General features: G+C 37.0%; 1 long non-coding RNA gene across 1 annotated transcript; it reads right to left on the reverse strand.

Moving 5' to 3' along the window:
- Positions 1-2,266: 2,266 nt before the first annotated feature.
- LOC124903489 (uncharacterized) lies at positions 2,267-16,060 on the reverse strand. Its single transcript, XR_007064629.1, has 2 exons — positions 15,242-16,060; positions 2,267-2,517 (listed from the first exon to the last, which is right to left on the reverse strand). It is a non-coding gene; the product is annotated as an uncharacterized LOC124903489 (long non-coding RNA).
- Between the last annotated feature and the right edge of the window lie 1,156 nt (positions 16,061-17,216).

Consider the following 17,216-nt stretch of genomic DNA (forward strand, 5'->3'; position numbering starts at 1 on the left):
GTGAACCTATATATATGGGTAGCATGAGAAGAGTTTATGGAGCGTGAAGCTTTACTTTGTTCAGGCTTACAGGAAGAAATCACTGGCCAATATAAATTTCCTGCTTTCAACTAACATGACAGTGTCTGTTATATCCTTTCTTATGGTCTGGGCTAAATGAGGACAGGACTCTTTGCAAAGGAGATTCAAAAGGAAGTTGCAAAAATATGTCTTCTGTCACTGTGAATCTGCAGGTCTCATCTGGGTTTCTTTGTATTTTTCAAAACCATCTTATAATCTATTCCTCTATGCCTGATTTCCCAAATAGAAGCACTATAAAAAACCAAACCCTTGCACTGGGCACGGTGGCCCAAGCATATAATCTCAGCACTTTGAAAGGCTGAGGTGGGAGGATTGCTTGAGGCTAGGAGTTTGAGACCAGCCCGGGCAACATAGTGAGATCCCATCTCTACAAAAAAAAAAAAAAAAAAATACAAACACTAGCCAGGTGTGGTGGTGTGCACCTATAGTTTCAGCTACTCGGGAAACTGAGTTGGGAGGATTTCTTGAGGCTGGGAGGCCGAGGTCACAGTGAGCCATGATCATGCCACTGCACTCCAGCCTGGGCAACAGAGTGAGACCTTATCTCAAAGGAAAAAAATAAAAATAAAAAAATAAGAAGTAAAAAAATCAAACCCTTAAATATATTGATTCAAAGTAACAGGAAAGAGGAAACTGTCTGGATTCTGTCCCTGGCACAAGTATAAAATACACATTATTGACAAGTACCTGGAGAAAAAACAGGATAGAAGACTCATGGTAAGATTATTGAATTGTTTGGATTAGTTTTAGCTTTTGACTATTATAACAAATGTTCCAGATTTTATCTAAGCCAAGCTATCTGCTCAGCAGTCACCCCTTTTTTTTTGCTGCATTATAAGCAAATAAGGCATAATGGTGGTGGTGATGGCAGACCCCAAACCTGTGTCACTGGAGACAAGGAGAGAGAGCTGGGACTCTGTTAAAGAAAAGTGTGTAACAGGACAAGGGAATAGCCTATCAGGGAAAGGTGAGAAACAAGTAAGGAAAGGGAGGTGTCCTTTTACTTGGGTTAAGATAGCACAATGTAGGCTGGGCACGGGGGCTCCCGCCTATAATCCCAGCACTATGGGAGGCTGAGGCGGATGGATCATCTGAGGTTGGGAGTTCGAGACCAGCCTGACCAACATGGAGAAACCCCATCTCTACTAAAAAAATAAATAAATACAAAATTAGCCAGGCATGGTGGTGCATGTCTGTAATCCCAGCTATTCGGGAGGCTGAGGCAGGAGAATCACTTGAATCCAGGAGGCGGAGGTTGCGGTGAGCTGAGATCACGCCATTGCACTCCAGCCTAGGCAACAAGCAAAACTCTGTCTTAAAAAAAAAAAAAACAAAAAAACAAAAACAAACAAAAAAACAGATAGCACAATATAGAAGACGCATTAAAGTGGGGGCTTTAGGCAGCTAGCTGTGAGAAACCATGGAAAGTCAATTTGTTGAAAATGTTACATCATCATTTTCTGCAACGAATGGTATTCAAACTCCATATAGTACCATAGCTTCATATTTGACATTATATAAAATCTGACTTTCAGCTCCCAGCTGGAAGTTTAATGCATACCTGGATTAGTTGTACACTTGACTCTCATTGTTTGCAGATTTCATATTTGAGAATTCACCTACTCATTAAAATGTATTTGTAAACAGAAAATCAATATTTCTGGTGCTTTCACAGTCATTCATGAACATACATTTGCAAAGACTAATGAAAAATGTGAGTAACCCAAAGCGCACATTCTGAGCTGGGACTGATTCTCTGTCTTCTAGTTTCAGCTCTCAGAATATACACAACTGTTCTTCTTGCAACCTATTTAGTGCCACAGTTTTTGCATTTTTGGGCTTTGTGTTGGTGACTTTGCTATTTAATGGCCCTCAAAACATAGTGCTGAAGTGCTGTCTAGTGTTCCTAAGTGCAGGAAGGCTGTATCTTATGGAGAAAATATGTGTGTTAGGTAAGCTATGTTCAGGCATGAGTTATAGTGCTGTTGGCCATGAGGTCAACCTTAATGAATCAATAATATACATTAAATAAGTTGTTTTTAAACAGAAACACACACAAAACAAAGGTACGTATGACTGACTGACAAATTGGCTCAAAGGAATTTCCCGTAAATGTTGGAAAATAACTTCATGGATAGGGATATTTGTTTCCTAGGACTGCCAGAACAAACTACCACAAACCTGGTAGCTTAAAACAACAGAAATTTATTCTCTCACAGTTCTGGAGCCAGAAGTCTGAAATCAAGGTGCTGGCAGGGTTATATTTTCTTTCTTTGAAGGCTTTAGAGGGGAAGTTCTTCCTTGCCTTTCTCCTACCTTCTGGTGTTTCTTGGCTCTTGGTTTCTTGGCTTATGGCAGCAAAACTCCAATCTCTGGTTCTGTCTTCACTTTGACCTCTTCTCTGTGTGTCTGTGTCCAAATCTTCCTCTCCTTTCTCTTATAAAGAAACCAATCATTGAATTTAGAGCCCATCCTAAAACCAGGATGCTTTCATCTTAAGATCTTTAATTACATCTGCAAAGATGCTGCTTCCAAATGAGGTCACATTCTGAGGTCTTAGTATACATGAATTTTGGGGTGACATTATTCAACTCACTACGATGGGCTTAATAATGGATTACACACAGCTAAGTGACAATACAAAACCAATATAAATTTAATAATGGATTACACATAGCTAAGTGACAATATTAAAAAAAAGGCAAATGAAAATCCAAAATAAAGCATATAAAGGCAAAAAAAAAAAAAAACGAAAAAAAATTAAGGTTAGAGACATAGGATACAATGAAAAGGTCTAATATATGCTTATTTGGAGTTTCAGAAAAAAAGAAGAGAGAAAATGTGGCAGAAGCAATACCCAAGGAGACAATATCTGATATTCTGCTATAGCTGGTGAGAGATATCAATCTGTAGATTCAACAGACCCAAAGGATGCCAAGAGGATGCATTTTTAAAAGTCCACATCTAGGTACATCACAGTAAAATTGTGGAAAACCAAAGACAAAGAGAACATCTTCAAAGCAGCTAAAGATAAAAAGACAGTTAATTTTCAAAGGCAAAACAATTAGATTGACAGTTGACTCCTCAAAAGAAACAATAAAAACCACAAGATAGTAAAATATTTTTGATGTGCTGGAAGGAAATAATAGCACACTTAGATTTATATACCCAGTGAAAATATTCTTCAAAAATGAAGATGAAATAAAGACATTTTCAGACCAATAAGTACCAGAAGAATTTATTATCAGCAGATCTATATAAGGAAAATACCAAAGAGGATTTTCATATAGTTTTGAGCAAATTTACTATAATTTAATTTAAAAATGATTCAATTCAAGAAGCTAGAAAAGGAGCCACAGAATATATATTTAAAGAAATGACAATAAAGGAAGTCATACAGATCAGGGCAAAAATCAGTAAGAGAACAAAAAACATAATAAAGATGAGCCCCAAACTGGAAAGTTAGAAAGACTAATAAGATAGACATAATAAACAAATACAGAACAAAAAAGGGGAATAATCATAAATATAATGGATATTAAAAATAAAAAGAATATCACAAACTATATCCTGATAAATTTGAAGACTGATATAAATCAGGTATATTTCTGAAAACAAATAAAATGCCAAAATAGCACAAGATAAGTTTTTGAAAGGATGAATAATCATTAAAGAAATTGCAAAATTTAAAAATCTTACTATCTCTGAAATGTCTTAGTCCAAACAGCATTACAAGTGAGTTCTTTCAAGAACATATTATACATATTATATGTATATATATAATATTATACATATTATATGTATATATATAATATTATACATATACACATATATTATACATATTATATGTATACATATATTATACGTATATACATATATTATACATATGATATTGTATGTGTATAATATGCTACATATTATATGTAATATAATAATGTATATTATATACTGTTATAATAAACAGAAAGAGTGAAAGCTGCCTATTCATTTTATGATGTAAAATAACCTTGATAGCTAAACCAATGAAAGACAGTCCAAGAAGAGAAAATTATAGCCCAATTTTACTTAAAATCATAGGTGGCAAACCTCTAAATAAAATGTTGGCTATTAAATGCAAAATTGTACTGAAAAGGAAGATATAATCATCAGTCTGAGTTTATCCCAGAATGTTGGGATGATTTAACACCATGTAACCCACTATGTGAACACACATGTTCATCTTATTAGGTCGAGGAATATTTTATATAGCTCATAAAACCTATTTTCATAAAACCTATTTATGATTTTTAAAGAGCTTTTAGAAGACAAAAAACAGAAGAGAATTTTTGTAATTTAAAGAATGCTAACTCCTCAAAACTGATAACGAATTTCATGCCTAATGGAGAAATTTGAGATGCTTACAAATAAATGTGTGTGTGTATTTTTGACATGATTATCCATATTAAAAACACAGGTGATTGGGAGGCTGAGGTGGGCAGATCACGAGGTCAGGAGATCGAGAACATCCTGGCTAACACGGTAAAACCCCTTCTCTACTAAAAATACAAAAAATTAGCTGGGCATGGTGGCACGTGCCTGTAATCCAAGCTACTTGGGAGGCTGAGGCAGGAGAATCGCTTGAACCCAGGGGGCGGAGGTTGCAGTGAGCCAAGATCACACCACTGCACTCCAGCCCGGGCGACAGAGTGAGACTCCGTCTCAAACACACACATACACATGTGAATCAAAGACCAACTATTGATAAATAAGGTTCAGCAAGGTTGGTAAACATAAAAACCAGTATGCAAATTATCAATATCATTCTTCTATTTCAATAATAACCAACTAGAAAATATTTTAGAAAATGACAGATCATAAGCTATAAAGATTTTGAAATTAATATAACAAAGAATGCTCAAAATCTTTATAGTGAAAAAAACTAAAAACAAGAGTCACATAAAAGTCACATAAAAGGAAACAAATCTATCTCTGAATTTAATGTAATTCCAATTAAAACTCCACAGTACCTTAAAGAAACTTGACAAACTGATGGCAAAATTGATACAGAAAAATAAAGATAAAGATACATGAATACTAAAATAAATTTCAAAATGAGCAGAAAATTGGGTGGAGAGATTCTCCTGTAATGAAGACATCACTCAGCTCAGTAATAAAAACACAACGTGGCACTGGTGAGGAAACAAATAGAACTAGACTACAGAACCCAGAAATATACCCCTTGCCTTTGTAGAAGTGGTAGTTAAAAAAGGTAGCATCACAAATCAGTGGGGAATAATAATTTAGTAGATGAAATTGAGAAAATGTGCTTCATTACAAAGAAATGAAAAGCTTGATGCTTACCTCAAATCATATACCATAATAAACTCCAAATAAAGATTTAAATATAAAAGGGAAACTATAAAACAACACTTCTGTATTGGAAAAGATTTCTTAAATGAGTTCTTAAAAAACATGGATGATGAGGAGGAAAAAGGATAGACTTATCATTAGAATGAAAGTTTTATGTTCAATAAGGACATAAGAGACAATGCTTCGGAGAATAGTTGCAAATCTAAAATAAGATAGATAAGAGTTTAATATCTAGAATACACAAATGGCCTGACATAGATCAGTAAAAATAAGCCAATAACAGATTGTGAAGAGTAGACAGTCCATAGAAGGGGACAACTAAATGGCTAATAAATGTATGAAGAGATGTACAAGCTCATTAGTAATAAAAATGTGCATTTAAAAAACAATAAGATACCGAAGTTAGATATTATCAAGGGCTGTCAAGGATAAAAGAAAACTGGAACCCTCATGCACTACTGGTGGGAACATAAATGATACAGCCATTTTGATGAGTTATCTGGCAGTACTTGGTGAAATAAAGTACTATGCCCTAAGACCCAGTATTTCCAGATACACATGCCAGAATAAATTTTGCACAGGTACATAAGGAGATAAAGATAAAGTGTTCATCAGAATTATTTATGTAGTAAGGATCTGGAAGGAACCTCCATAGATGTCTATCACAGGATAAATATGTAAATTGCGGCATGCATATGAGATATAAGTGACAAAACAACAGTCAGAAGTAATAAACCAGATTTAAAAATAACATGGATAAAAGCATAGTTTAAAAAGGTACTGAGAGTGTTAAAGGGACGGGTTCAAAAGGACTAAGTAGAGGCATTTGATACTTGTCTCCTCCACAAAGAAGAACCAAAATAGCAAGTAGATAATCACACTTTGAATGGATAATCTAAGAAAGAAAACTAGAATTCAACAGAGAAGTAACAGGAAACACCTAAGGCAAAGAAGGAGAGGGAATCAAGGCAGCCTGCTCAGCCAGGATTGGCTGGTAGCCTAAAGAGGCTGCTCAATGTGGAGAAAGGGTAAGTGAGAGACGGAGAGACCACCCGTGGTCCACATTCCTATGGAGGACTCCCACAGTCCTAGACAAAGGAAGAGTCCCTTACCTTTACAGGCCCTGAGACTAACATAGGGAACTGCCTGGAGACCATACCACACAACACCCTTGCTCCAAAGAGGAAACTCATGCTAGGTCCCATGCATCCCTATGAGTCCTAAGTAGCTACAACATGGCAGGATACTGAGAGCTCAGTCTCCACCAGACTGCCTCCTGCCATGGGGCCCAACAGTCTCTGCATCTCCACATTCCTGGAGTCCCACTGACATGCCCTGCCTACAGCCACTGCCACTGCTGGCTACTGCTGCCAGGGCTGAAGTGGGAGCCAATGCCAATAATCCTGTTGTCCCCAGAAGCACTGCTGTGGCATATTTATGAGTGCCATGAGGACAGGCTATCCTATCCACAGCCATACTCTGAGGCCAAATCATGTGCTACCCAGCCACCTGCTTTCTGCTGGCTACCACTGAAAGCAACCCTGCCATCCCCACAGGGGCCTGGGGATCACTCTGCCTCTGCCAAAAATAGCCAATGCCCACATGTACAACTGAGGGACCTGAGGACAGGTCTGCCCAGCCAAGCTCCACCCTCTGGCCAGTGCCTGAGAATGTCATCTGGGGCCTGGGATCACCCTGCCTCATCCATCATCACTGGCACCTGAGCACTCTTCCCAGGGTCCTAAGGATGGGACCACTCAACCTGCCACTACCACCACAGTTGGCACCCACCTGAATGCATCACCTGAGGGCCTGAGTACCTGTTGCAGCCACCTCCAACACCAGTGTGAACCACTTGGGAGCCAGGGAGTTGTTCTGTCACTACCACTGCCATTGTTCATGTACCACCCACTGCCCAGGAGCTCAACAACCTGCGCACACACCAGGCCACCAATGCCACTGCTGGCACCCAAGCAAGGTGGCGGAAGGCCCAAGAAATGACCCACCTGAAGCAACTAACACAAGTGCCAGTGCATGCTGTCCTGGGGCCCAAGGACAGGCATGTCCAGCCTTCCATGGCCACCACTGGGGCCAGTGGAGTAGTCTACCTGGTGTCTCTGTTCCCAGTAAAATTTCACCAGAGCCTCCACTAACAACAAAACCCTAAGCCACTAAGGAAATCACATACATACACCACAGATGCTGTTTATAGCCAAATAAATCATACAGACCCTATACTACTGCTCACACCCATAATCAAAGCCAAAGTGTCCTACCCAACAAACATTATAGATATATCATCAGGAAAAAGTCCTCCTCTAAGAGGAAGAAGTGACTATTATACCAGATGCACAGGTATCAATGTAAGGACACAGAAACACGAAAAAGCAAAGAGATATGACACCTGCAAAGGAACATAATAATTCCCCAACAACAGATCCCAATGAAAAAGAAATTTATGAAATCCCAGAAAGAGAATTCAAAATGATGATATTAAAAGTATCAGTGAGATACAGAGGGACACAGATAAACAATATAAAGAATAAGAAAAACAATTCAGGATATGAATGAGAAATTTAGCCAAGAGATAGGTATCATAAAAAAGAACTAAACAAAAATTATTGCAGAATTCATTGAATGAAATAAAAAATACAATTAAAAGCTTCCACAATAGACTAGAACAAGCAGAAGAAAGAATTTCAGAACTTGAAGACAAGTCTTTTGAAATAACCCAATTTATTTTTTTAAGGAATAAAAAAGAATGAACAAAGCATACATGACACGTGGGACTCCACAAAGCAACCAAATATTCAAAATTTCAGTGTCCCAGGATGTGAAGAGTCAACCAAAGGGATACAAAACCTATTTCACAAGATAATAGCTAAAAACTTCCCATCTAGCAAGAGATTTACACATACAGATTCAGAAAGCTTAGAGATCCCCAAACAGATACGATTCAAAAAATCTCCATACATTATAGTCAAACTGTCAAAGTGAAAAACAATGAGATAATTCTAAAAGCAGCAAGAGAAAGCATCTGGTCACTTATGAGGGAATCTCCATCAGACTAACAGTAGATTCTCAGCAGTAACCTTACAGGCCGGGAGAAAATTGGATGATATATAAGTGCTGGAAGAAAAAAAAAACCATCAGCCAAGGATACTATACCCAGCAAAGTTATCCTTCATAAATGAAGGAAAAATAAAGTCTTACCCAGACAAGCAAAAGCTGAGGGAATCCATCACCACTGGATTGGTCCTACAAGATGTGCTCTGAAGGGTCCTACACGTAGAAGTGAAAGGATATTATCTACTATCATGAAACACATAAATGTATAAAATCAACTGGTAAACACACAAATAAGGAACAGCAAGGACTCAAAAGTTACCAATAAAGAAAACCACCAAACCACAATGACAAACAAGAAGAGTAGAAGAAAGGTACAAAGGATATATAAAATGACCAGAAATCAATAAAATGACAAGAGTAAGTTCTTACACATTAATAACATTGAATTTGAACAGATTAAATGTTGCACTTAAAAGATATAGACGGCTGAATGGATTTTTTTTTTTAAAAAAACCATGACCTAATTATATGCTGCCTACAAAAAACTAATCTCATCTATAAAAGCACATATAGTCTAAAAGTCAAAGGATGGAAAAATATCCACCCATGCAAATGGGTTAAAAAAGCAAGCAGAAGTAGCTATATTTATTTATATCAGATAAAAAAGACTTTAAGTCAAAAATAGTAAAAAGAGACAAAGAAGGTCATTATGTAATGACAAAGGGATCAATTCAGCAATAGGATAGGACAATTCTAAACATATATGTAGCCAACACCTAAGCACTCATATATATAAAGCAAATATTATTAGATCTAAAAGGAGAGATGAGATAGACTCTAATATAATAATAGTTGAAGACATCAACACATCACTCTCAGCATTACCCAGATCATATAGACAGAAAATTAACAAAGAAACATTGGATTTAAAGTGCACTATAGACCAAATGGACATAACAGACATACACAGAACAATTCATCCAACAGCTCCAGAATACACATACTTCTCATCAGCACATGGAACATTTTTCAGGATAGACCACACGCTAGGACCCAAAGCAAGTCTTCACAATTTTTTAAAAATAGAAATCATATCAAGTATTTTCTCAGACCACAGTGAAATAAAACCAGGTATCAATAACAAAAGGAATTTTAAAAATTGTACAGATATATAAAAATTAAACAACATGCTCCTCAATGACCACTGGGTCAAGAAAGAAATTAAGGAGAAAAATTTAAAAAGCTCTTGAAACAGATGAAAATCGAACACAACATACCAAAACCTATGGGATATAGCAAAAGCACTGCCAAGAGGAAATTTTGTAGCAATAAATGTGTACATCAAAGAAGAAAGATTTCAATAAACAATCCAATGATGTACCTCAAAGAACTATAAAAGCAAGAACAAGCAAACCCGAAAGTTAATAGGAGAGAAATAATAAAGATTAGAGAACTAAACAAAATAGAGCATAAAAATATACAGAATCAATAAAACAAAAATTTAACTTTTTGAAAAGATAAAATCAATACACTATTAGCTAGACTAATCAAGAAAAAAAAAAGGAAGACAGAAGACTCAAACAAAACTAGAAAAGAAAATGAAGACATTACAACTGATACCCACAAAAATGCAAAAGATTGTCAGAGATTATCATGAACAAACTGGGAAACATAGAGGAAATGGATAAATTCCTGGACATACACAATCTACCAAGATCGAATCAGGAAAAAATAGAAAACCTGAATAGACTGATAATGAGTAATAAATCAGTAATAAAAAGTCTCCCAACAAAAAAAAAAGCCCATGACTGAATGGCTTCATTGCTGAATTCTACCAAATTTCCAAAAAAAGAACTAACACCAATTTTTTTTCAAACTATTCCAAAAACTTGAGGAGGGTATTCTTATTTATTTATTTATTTTTGAGACCAAATCTCACTCTGTTGCCCAGGCTGGAGTGCAGTGGCATGATTATATATATATATATATATATATATATATATATATATATATATATATATATATATGTGTGTGTGTGTGTGTGTGTGTGTGTGTGAGAGAGAGAGTATATATATATGTGTGTGTATGTGTGTGTGTCTATATATGTGTGTGTGTATATATATATATATATATATATATATATATATTTTTTTTTTTTTTTTTTTTTTTTTTTTTTAGCTGGAGTCTTACTCTGTCACCAAGGCTGGAGTGAAATGGTGTGATCTCAGCTCACTGCAGCCTCCACCTCCTGGGTTCAAGCAATCCTCCTGCCTCAGCCTCTCATGTGGCTAGGATTACTGGCACATGCCGCCACGCCCAGCTAATTTGAATTTTTAGTAGAGATGGGATTTCACCATGTTGGCCAGGCTGGTCTCAAACTCCTAACCTCAGGTGATCCACCCGCCTCGGCCTTCCAAAATGTTGGGATTACAGGCGTGAGCCACCACGCCTGGCTGAGGAGGGTATTCTTTTTAACTCATTCTATGAGGCCAGCATTGTTACAACCAGAAGAGGATACAACAAAACAAGAAAACTATAGGCCAATATCCCTGATAAACACAGACACAAAAATCCTCAAGAAAATACTAGCAAACCAAATCCAACAGCACATCCAAAAGATAATACATGATTAGCAAATGGGGTTTATCCCATGGATGAAAGGATGGTATAACATATGCAGATCCATAAGAGTGAAACATCACATCAACAGAATGAAGGACAAAATCATACGATCACCTCAAAAGACACAGAAAAAGCATTTGATAATATTTCACATCTCTTTATGACAAAAGTTCTGAAGAAATTGGGTACAGAAGGAAAGTATCTCAACATAATAGACCATATATGACAAACCCACAGCTTACATCATACTGAATGGGGAAAAATGGAAAGCTTTCTATTTAAAAACTGGAACACGATAAGCATGCCTACTTTCACCACTGTCATTCAACATAGTACTAGAAGTTTTACCACAGCTGTTAGGCAAGAGAAAAAAATAAAAGATATCCAAACTCAAAGAGAGGAAGTCAACTTGTCCTTGTTTGCAGACAGCATATTATACATAGAAAAACTTAAGACTCCACCAGAAAACTCTTAGAACTGATAAACGAATTTAGTAAAGTTGCAAGATAAAAAATGAACTTTAAAAATCACTAGTGTTTCTATACACCACTAACAAATTCTTTGAAAAAGAAATCAACCAAGCAATCCTATTTACAATAGGTATAAAAATAAAATAAAATAAAATAAAATAAAATACATACGGATAAATTTAACCAACTAGGCGAAAGACCTTTTCAAGGAAAACTACAAAACACTGATGAAAGAAATTGAAAGAACTTATTGAAAGACAACCATTCTTATGGATTAAAGAATACTGTTAAAATGACCATACTACACAAAGCACCTATAGATTCAACGCAGTCCTTATCAAAATGCCACTGTCATTTTCACAGAAATAGAAAAAACAATCCTAACATTCACTTGAAACCAAAAAGAGCTCAAATAGCCAAAGCAATCCTGAGCAAAAACAAAAACCACCAAAGCTAGAGGCATTATACTACCTGACCTCAAAAATATTACAAGGCTATAGCAACCAAAGCAGCATGGCATTGGTAAAAAACAGACACAATGACCAACGAAACAAAATAGGGAACTCAGAAATAAATCCACATGTTGGGAAAAGAATACTCTGTTAAACAAGTGGTGCTGGGAAAATTGGATATCCATACGCAGAAGAATGACACTGGACCTCTATCTCTCACCATACACAAATATCTACTCAACATGGATTAAAGACTTAAAACATACCACATGCAATTATAAAAGTACTAGAGGAAAACATAGCGGAAATGCTTCAGGGGATTGGCATAGGCAAAGATTTTATGGTTAAGGCTTTGAAAGCACAGGCAACAAAAACAAAAATACACAAATGGGATTATATTAAACTAGGAAGTTTCTGCATGACAAGGAAACAATCAACAGAGTGAAAAGACAACTTGTTGAATGGGAGAAAATACATGCAAACTATTCATCCAACAAGGGACTAATATCCAGAATATATAAGGAACTCAACTAAACAGTACAAAAAAAATAATCCCATTAAAAAGTAGTCAAAGGATATGAATAGACATTTCTTAAAAGACATTCAAATGGCCAACAGGTACATGAAATAATGCGCAACATCACTAAACATCAAAGAAATGTAAATCAAAACCACAATGACATATCTTCTTACACCAGTTAAAATGGTTATTATCAAAAAGACAAAAATAACAGATGCTGGGAAGGATGGAGAAAAAGGAACTCATACACTGTTGATAGGAATGTGAGTCAGTACAGCCATTATGGAAAACAGTATGGTGATTTCTCAAAGAACTAAAAAGAGAACTATCATATGATCCAGGAATCCCACTACTGAATATTTATCAAAAGGAAAAAAATCAGTAGATCAAAGGGATACTTGCACCCTGTGTTTATTGTAGAATGATTCACAACAGCAAAGATATGAAAAGAACCGGTGTCTATCAACAGATGAACGAATAAAGAAAATGTGGTGTGTACACACACACACGAATACTATTCAGCCATAGAAAATAATGAAAACCTTGTCAATTTGCCACAACATGGATGGAACCAGAGGTCATTATGTTAAGTGAAATAAGCCAGGCACAGAAAGACAAATATCACATGTTCTTACTCACATGTGAGGGCTAAAAAAGTTGATGTAATGGAGATAGATTAGAATGATAGATACCAGAGGCTGAGAAAGGTGTGTATGTGGGGTGGTTGAAGAAAGGTTGGTTAATGGGTATACGTACACAGTTAGAAGGAATAAATTCTAATGTTCGATAGCAGAGTAGTGTGACTATGTATTGTATATTTTAAAATAGCTAGAAGATAGGACTGAAAATGTTCCCAACACATAGAAATGATAAATTCTCAAGGTGAAGGATACCCTACATAGCCAGACTTGATCATTACACATCCTATGCATGTAAAAAATATTACATATGCCCCATAAATACGTACTAGTATTATTTATCAATAAAATTTGTCATTTATAAAAATTAAAGGCCAGGCGCGGTGGCTCACGCCTGTAATCCCAGCACTTTGGGAGGCCGAGGCAGGCGGATCACCTGAGGTCAGGAGTTCGAGACCAACCTGGCCAACAGGGTGAAACCCCGTCTCTACTAAAAATGCAAAAATTAGCCTAGTGTGGTGGCCGATGCCTGCAATCCCAGCTACTCAGGAGGCTGAGGTAGAAGAATCACTTGAACCCAGGAGGCGGAGGTTGCAGTGAGCCAAGATTGTGCCACTGCACTCCAGCCTGCGTGACAGCGAGACTCCTTCTCAAAAAAAAGTTAAAAATAGGCATATGTATATTATTTTTTCAAAATATACACATAACTAAATACATGGAAAGTAAACTGAAAAGACATGCTATTATGCCAGGTGACAAGGATAATGATTTTCTCTGTTCTATATACCTGAGGTTAAAAAGAATCGCTCAAGAAAAAAAAATGAAGCCCAGAGAGATTAAGTGGCAAGATCTCAATTCTTAGTCAACCATATAATGCAGGTCGCCTGTTTCCTAGGTCTTTCTACTCTACCACACTCCTCTTTCCTGGGAAGCTGAAAGTGGCATCTATTAAGATAGCAACCTTGGGCACCGTGGCTCACGACTGTAATCCCAGCACTTTGGGAGGCCGAGGCGGGTGGATCACCTGAGGTCAGGAGTTCGAGAGCAGCCTGACCAACATGGTGAAACCCCATCTCTACTAAAAATACAAAAATTAGCTGGGTGTGATGGCAGATGCCTATAATCCTAGCTACTTGGGAGGCTGAGACAGGAGACTTGCTTGAATCCAGGAGGCGGAGGTTGCAGTGAGCCAAGATTGTGTCACTGCACTCCAGCCTGGGTGACGGAGTAAGACTCTTTCAAAAAAAAAAAAAAAAAGATAGCAACCTATTGCTAGAATTCATTGTTTTTTCCACAGAAGCACAATCTCACTCAACTGTTTCCTGATTTTCTATTGAGGAGAAATAGCCATTACTTCTGAGATATGATTGCCTGCAAATTTAATTATTCTTGCTTCATAAGCATTCAAATATGTAAAGCCAAGTATACTTTCAGATATTAGGTTGGCACAAAAGTAACTGCAGTTTTTTCCATTACCTTCAATAGCAAAACCTGCAATTACTTTTGCACCAACCTAATAAAACATGGTAATTTTAGATGTATTGTTATTCCACTGTGAATTTGAGATTACTCAAAATACAATCTTTCAATGTTGTTTATATTTGAACTGGTTTGTTTCTTCTAGACAAACCCAAACTTTTCTATAATTCATGATTTTTATATTAACATCTAGCTATAATGATATTCTGAGATATCACAAAAATTGATAAACCAAAAGGGCTTTGTTTACATATAAAAAATTCATTCTTCATCAACAAGGAAAAATTGACAGCTTTTGTGGGGACATACAAATGTTAGGTAAAGCAATGGATTTCAACAATTTTATAGTTAATAGGCATCAAAGAAAAACTTTAAAGTTAAATGCTTATAAATATACAGTGTTGGGCCAGGCACAGTGGCTCACTCCTGTAATCCCAGCACTTTGGGAGGCTGAGCCAGGCAGATAACCTGAGGCTAGGAGTTCAAGACAAGCCTGGCCAACACGGTAAAACCCCGTCTCTACTAAAAATTAAAAAATTAGCTGGGCGTGGTGGCACACACCTGTAATTCCAGCCACTTGGGAGGCTGAGGCAGGAGAATCGCTTGAACCCGGGAGGCGGAGGCTGCAGTGAGCCGAGATCGTGCCACTGCACTTCAGCCTAGGCAACAAGAGCGAGACTCCATCTGAAAAATAATAATAATAATAAAATATATATAAATACACACACACACACACACACACACACACACACACACACACACAGTGTTGGAAAGGAAACAAACTGGTTTTAAAATACTTTATAGGAAGAGACATTTTATAGAAAGCTGTTTGTTATTAATGTCTGGAGTTATAGTTGGCTTTATTTCAAAATTTCCTAAGTTATTCTACTTAACATTCAGAAGATGGAAAAAAGAACCAACTTTCAGGTAAGGACAAATACTGCATGATCATTTATGTGAGGTATCTAAGATAGTCAAACTCACTGAAGCAAAGAATAAAATGGTTACCAGGGGCTGGGGGGTGGGGAAATGGGGAGATGCGAATTAATTAGTATAAAGTCAGTTACGCAAGATGAAAAAGTTCTAGAGGTCTGCTGCGTAACATTGTGCCTGTACTTAACAATACTCTATTGTACACTTAAAAATCTCATGTTTAGTGTTCTTACTACCACCACAACCACCCAAAAAAAGGACTTTAAAAAAAAACCTTTAGGTCGGGCACAGCGGCTCATGCCTATAGTCCCAGCACTTTGGGAGGCAGAGGCAGGCAGATCACGAGGTCAGGAGAGTAATTTCATTTAAATAGTCATCCTTAATTTCTCACTATAAAGTTTGTTTGTTTTGTTTTGTTTTGTTTTTTGAGACGAGTTTTGCGATTGTTGCCCAGTCTGGAGTGCAGCAGCGCGATCTTGGCTCACTGCAACCTCTGCCTCCTGCATTCAAACGATTCTCCTGCCTCAGCCTCCTGAGTAGCCGAGACTACAGCTGTGCACCACCACGCCCAGCTAATTTTTGTATTTTTAGTAGAGATGGGGTTTCTCCATGTTGGCCAGAACCTTATAAATATACAGTGCTTATATATAAATGCTTATAAATATATAAATGCTTATAAATATATGCATATATATTTATATACATATATGCAGAACCTGGCCAACGTGGAGAAACCACATCTCTACTAAAAACACAAAAATTAGGTGGGCGTGGTGGTGCACAGCTGTAGTCTCGGCTACTCGGGAGGCTGAGGCAGGAGAATCGTTTGAATCTGGGAGGCAAAGGTTGCAGTGAGCCAAGATCACGCTGCTGCACTCCAGACTGGGCAACAATAGCAAAACTCGTCTCAAAAAACAAAACAAAACAAACAAAAAACCTTTAATTTATAGTGAGAAATTAAGGATGACTATTTAAATGAAATTACTCATAGTTAAATAGAAGAGCTGGAACATCTTCATCATTCCACTGAAAATGCTTATTAACATTACCAAAGACTTGCATCTTGCTAAATCCTAGGGCCCTTCTCTGCCCTTATTTAACCTCTCAGCAGCATTCAGTTAATACTTACTGTTTGAAATGCCTGTTTCTGTGACACCGCTCTCATTTATTTCCAAGCTCCTTGTCCACTGTCTTTTACCAAAAAATACTTTCTTAGTCTTCTCATTTCATTTAATCATACCACTGTCTACCAGTTACTCAGTAACAAATCCAAGAGCCATCCTTGATGTTTCTCTCCTTCATAACCCCCAATTTCAACTCATAAGCAAATCCTTGTCAGCCTTATCCTGATCTTACCCACTTCTCCTGTCCTAGTCCAAAAATCTCCATCATTTCACCCAGACTTCTGCAATGGACTCCTACTGTCTCTCGGCCCACACTCTTGCCCCATACAGTAATTTTTCCACATAATAGCCAGTATCATCTTTTAAATTTCCAGTCTTCCCAGTGTATTCAGAGTAAAATCTCAGCTAATTACCTCTAAGACTACACATAATCTGGTCCCCGCCCACTTCTAAAGTCTTAACATCATACCCTGCCTCGT

This window comes from Homo sapiens, chromosome 15 (genome assembly GCF_000001405.40).
Source record: "Homo sapiens chromosome 15, GRCh38.p14 Primary Assembly".
In the NCBI taxonomy this organism is placed as follows: domain Eukaryota; kingdom Metazoa; phylum Chordata; class Mammalia; order Primates; family Hominidae; genus Homo; species Homo sapiens.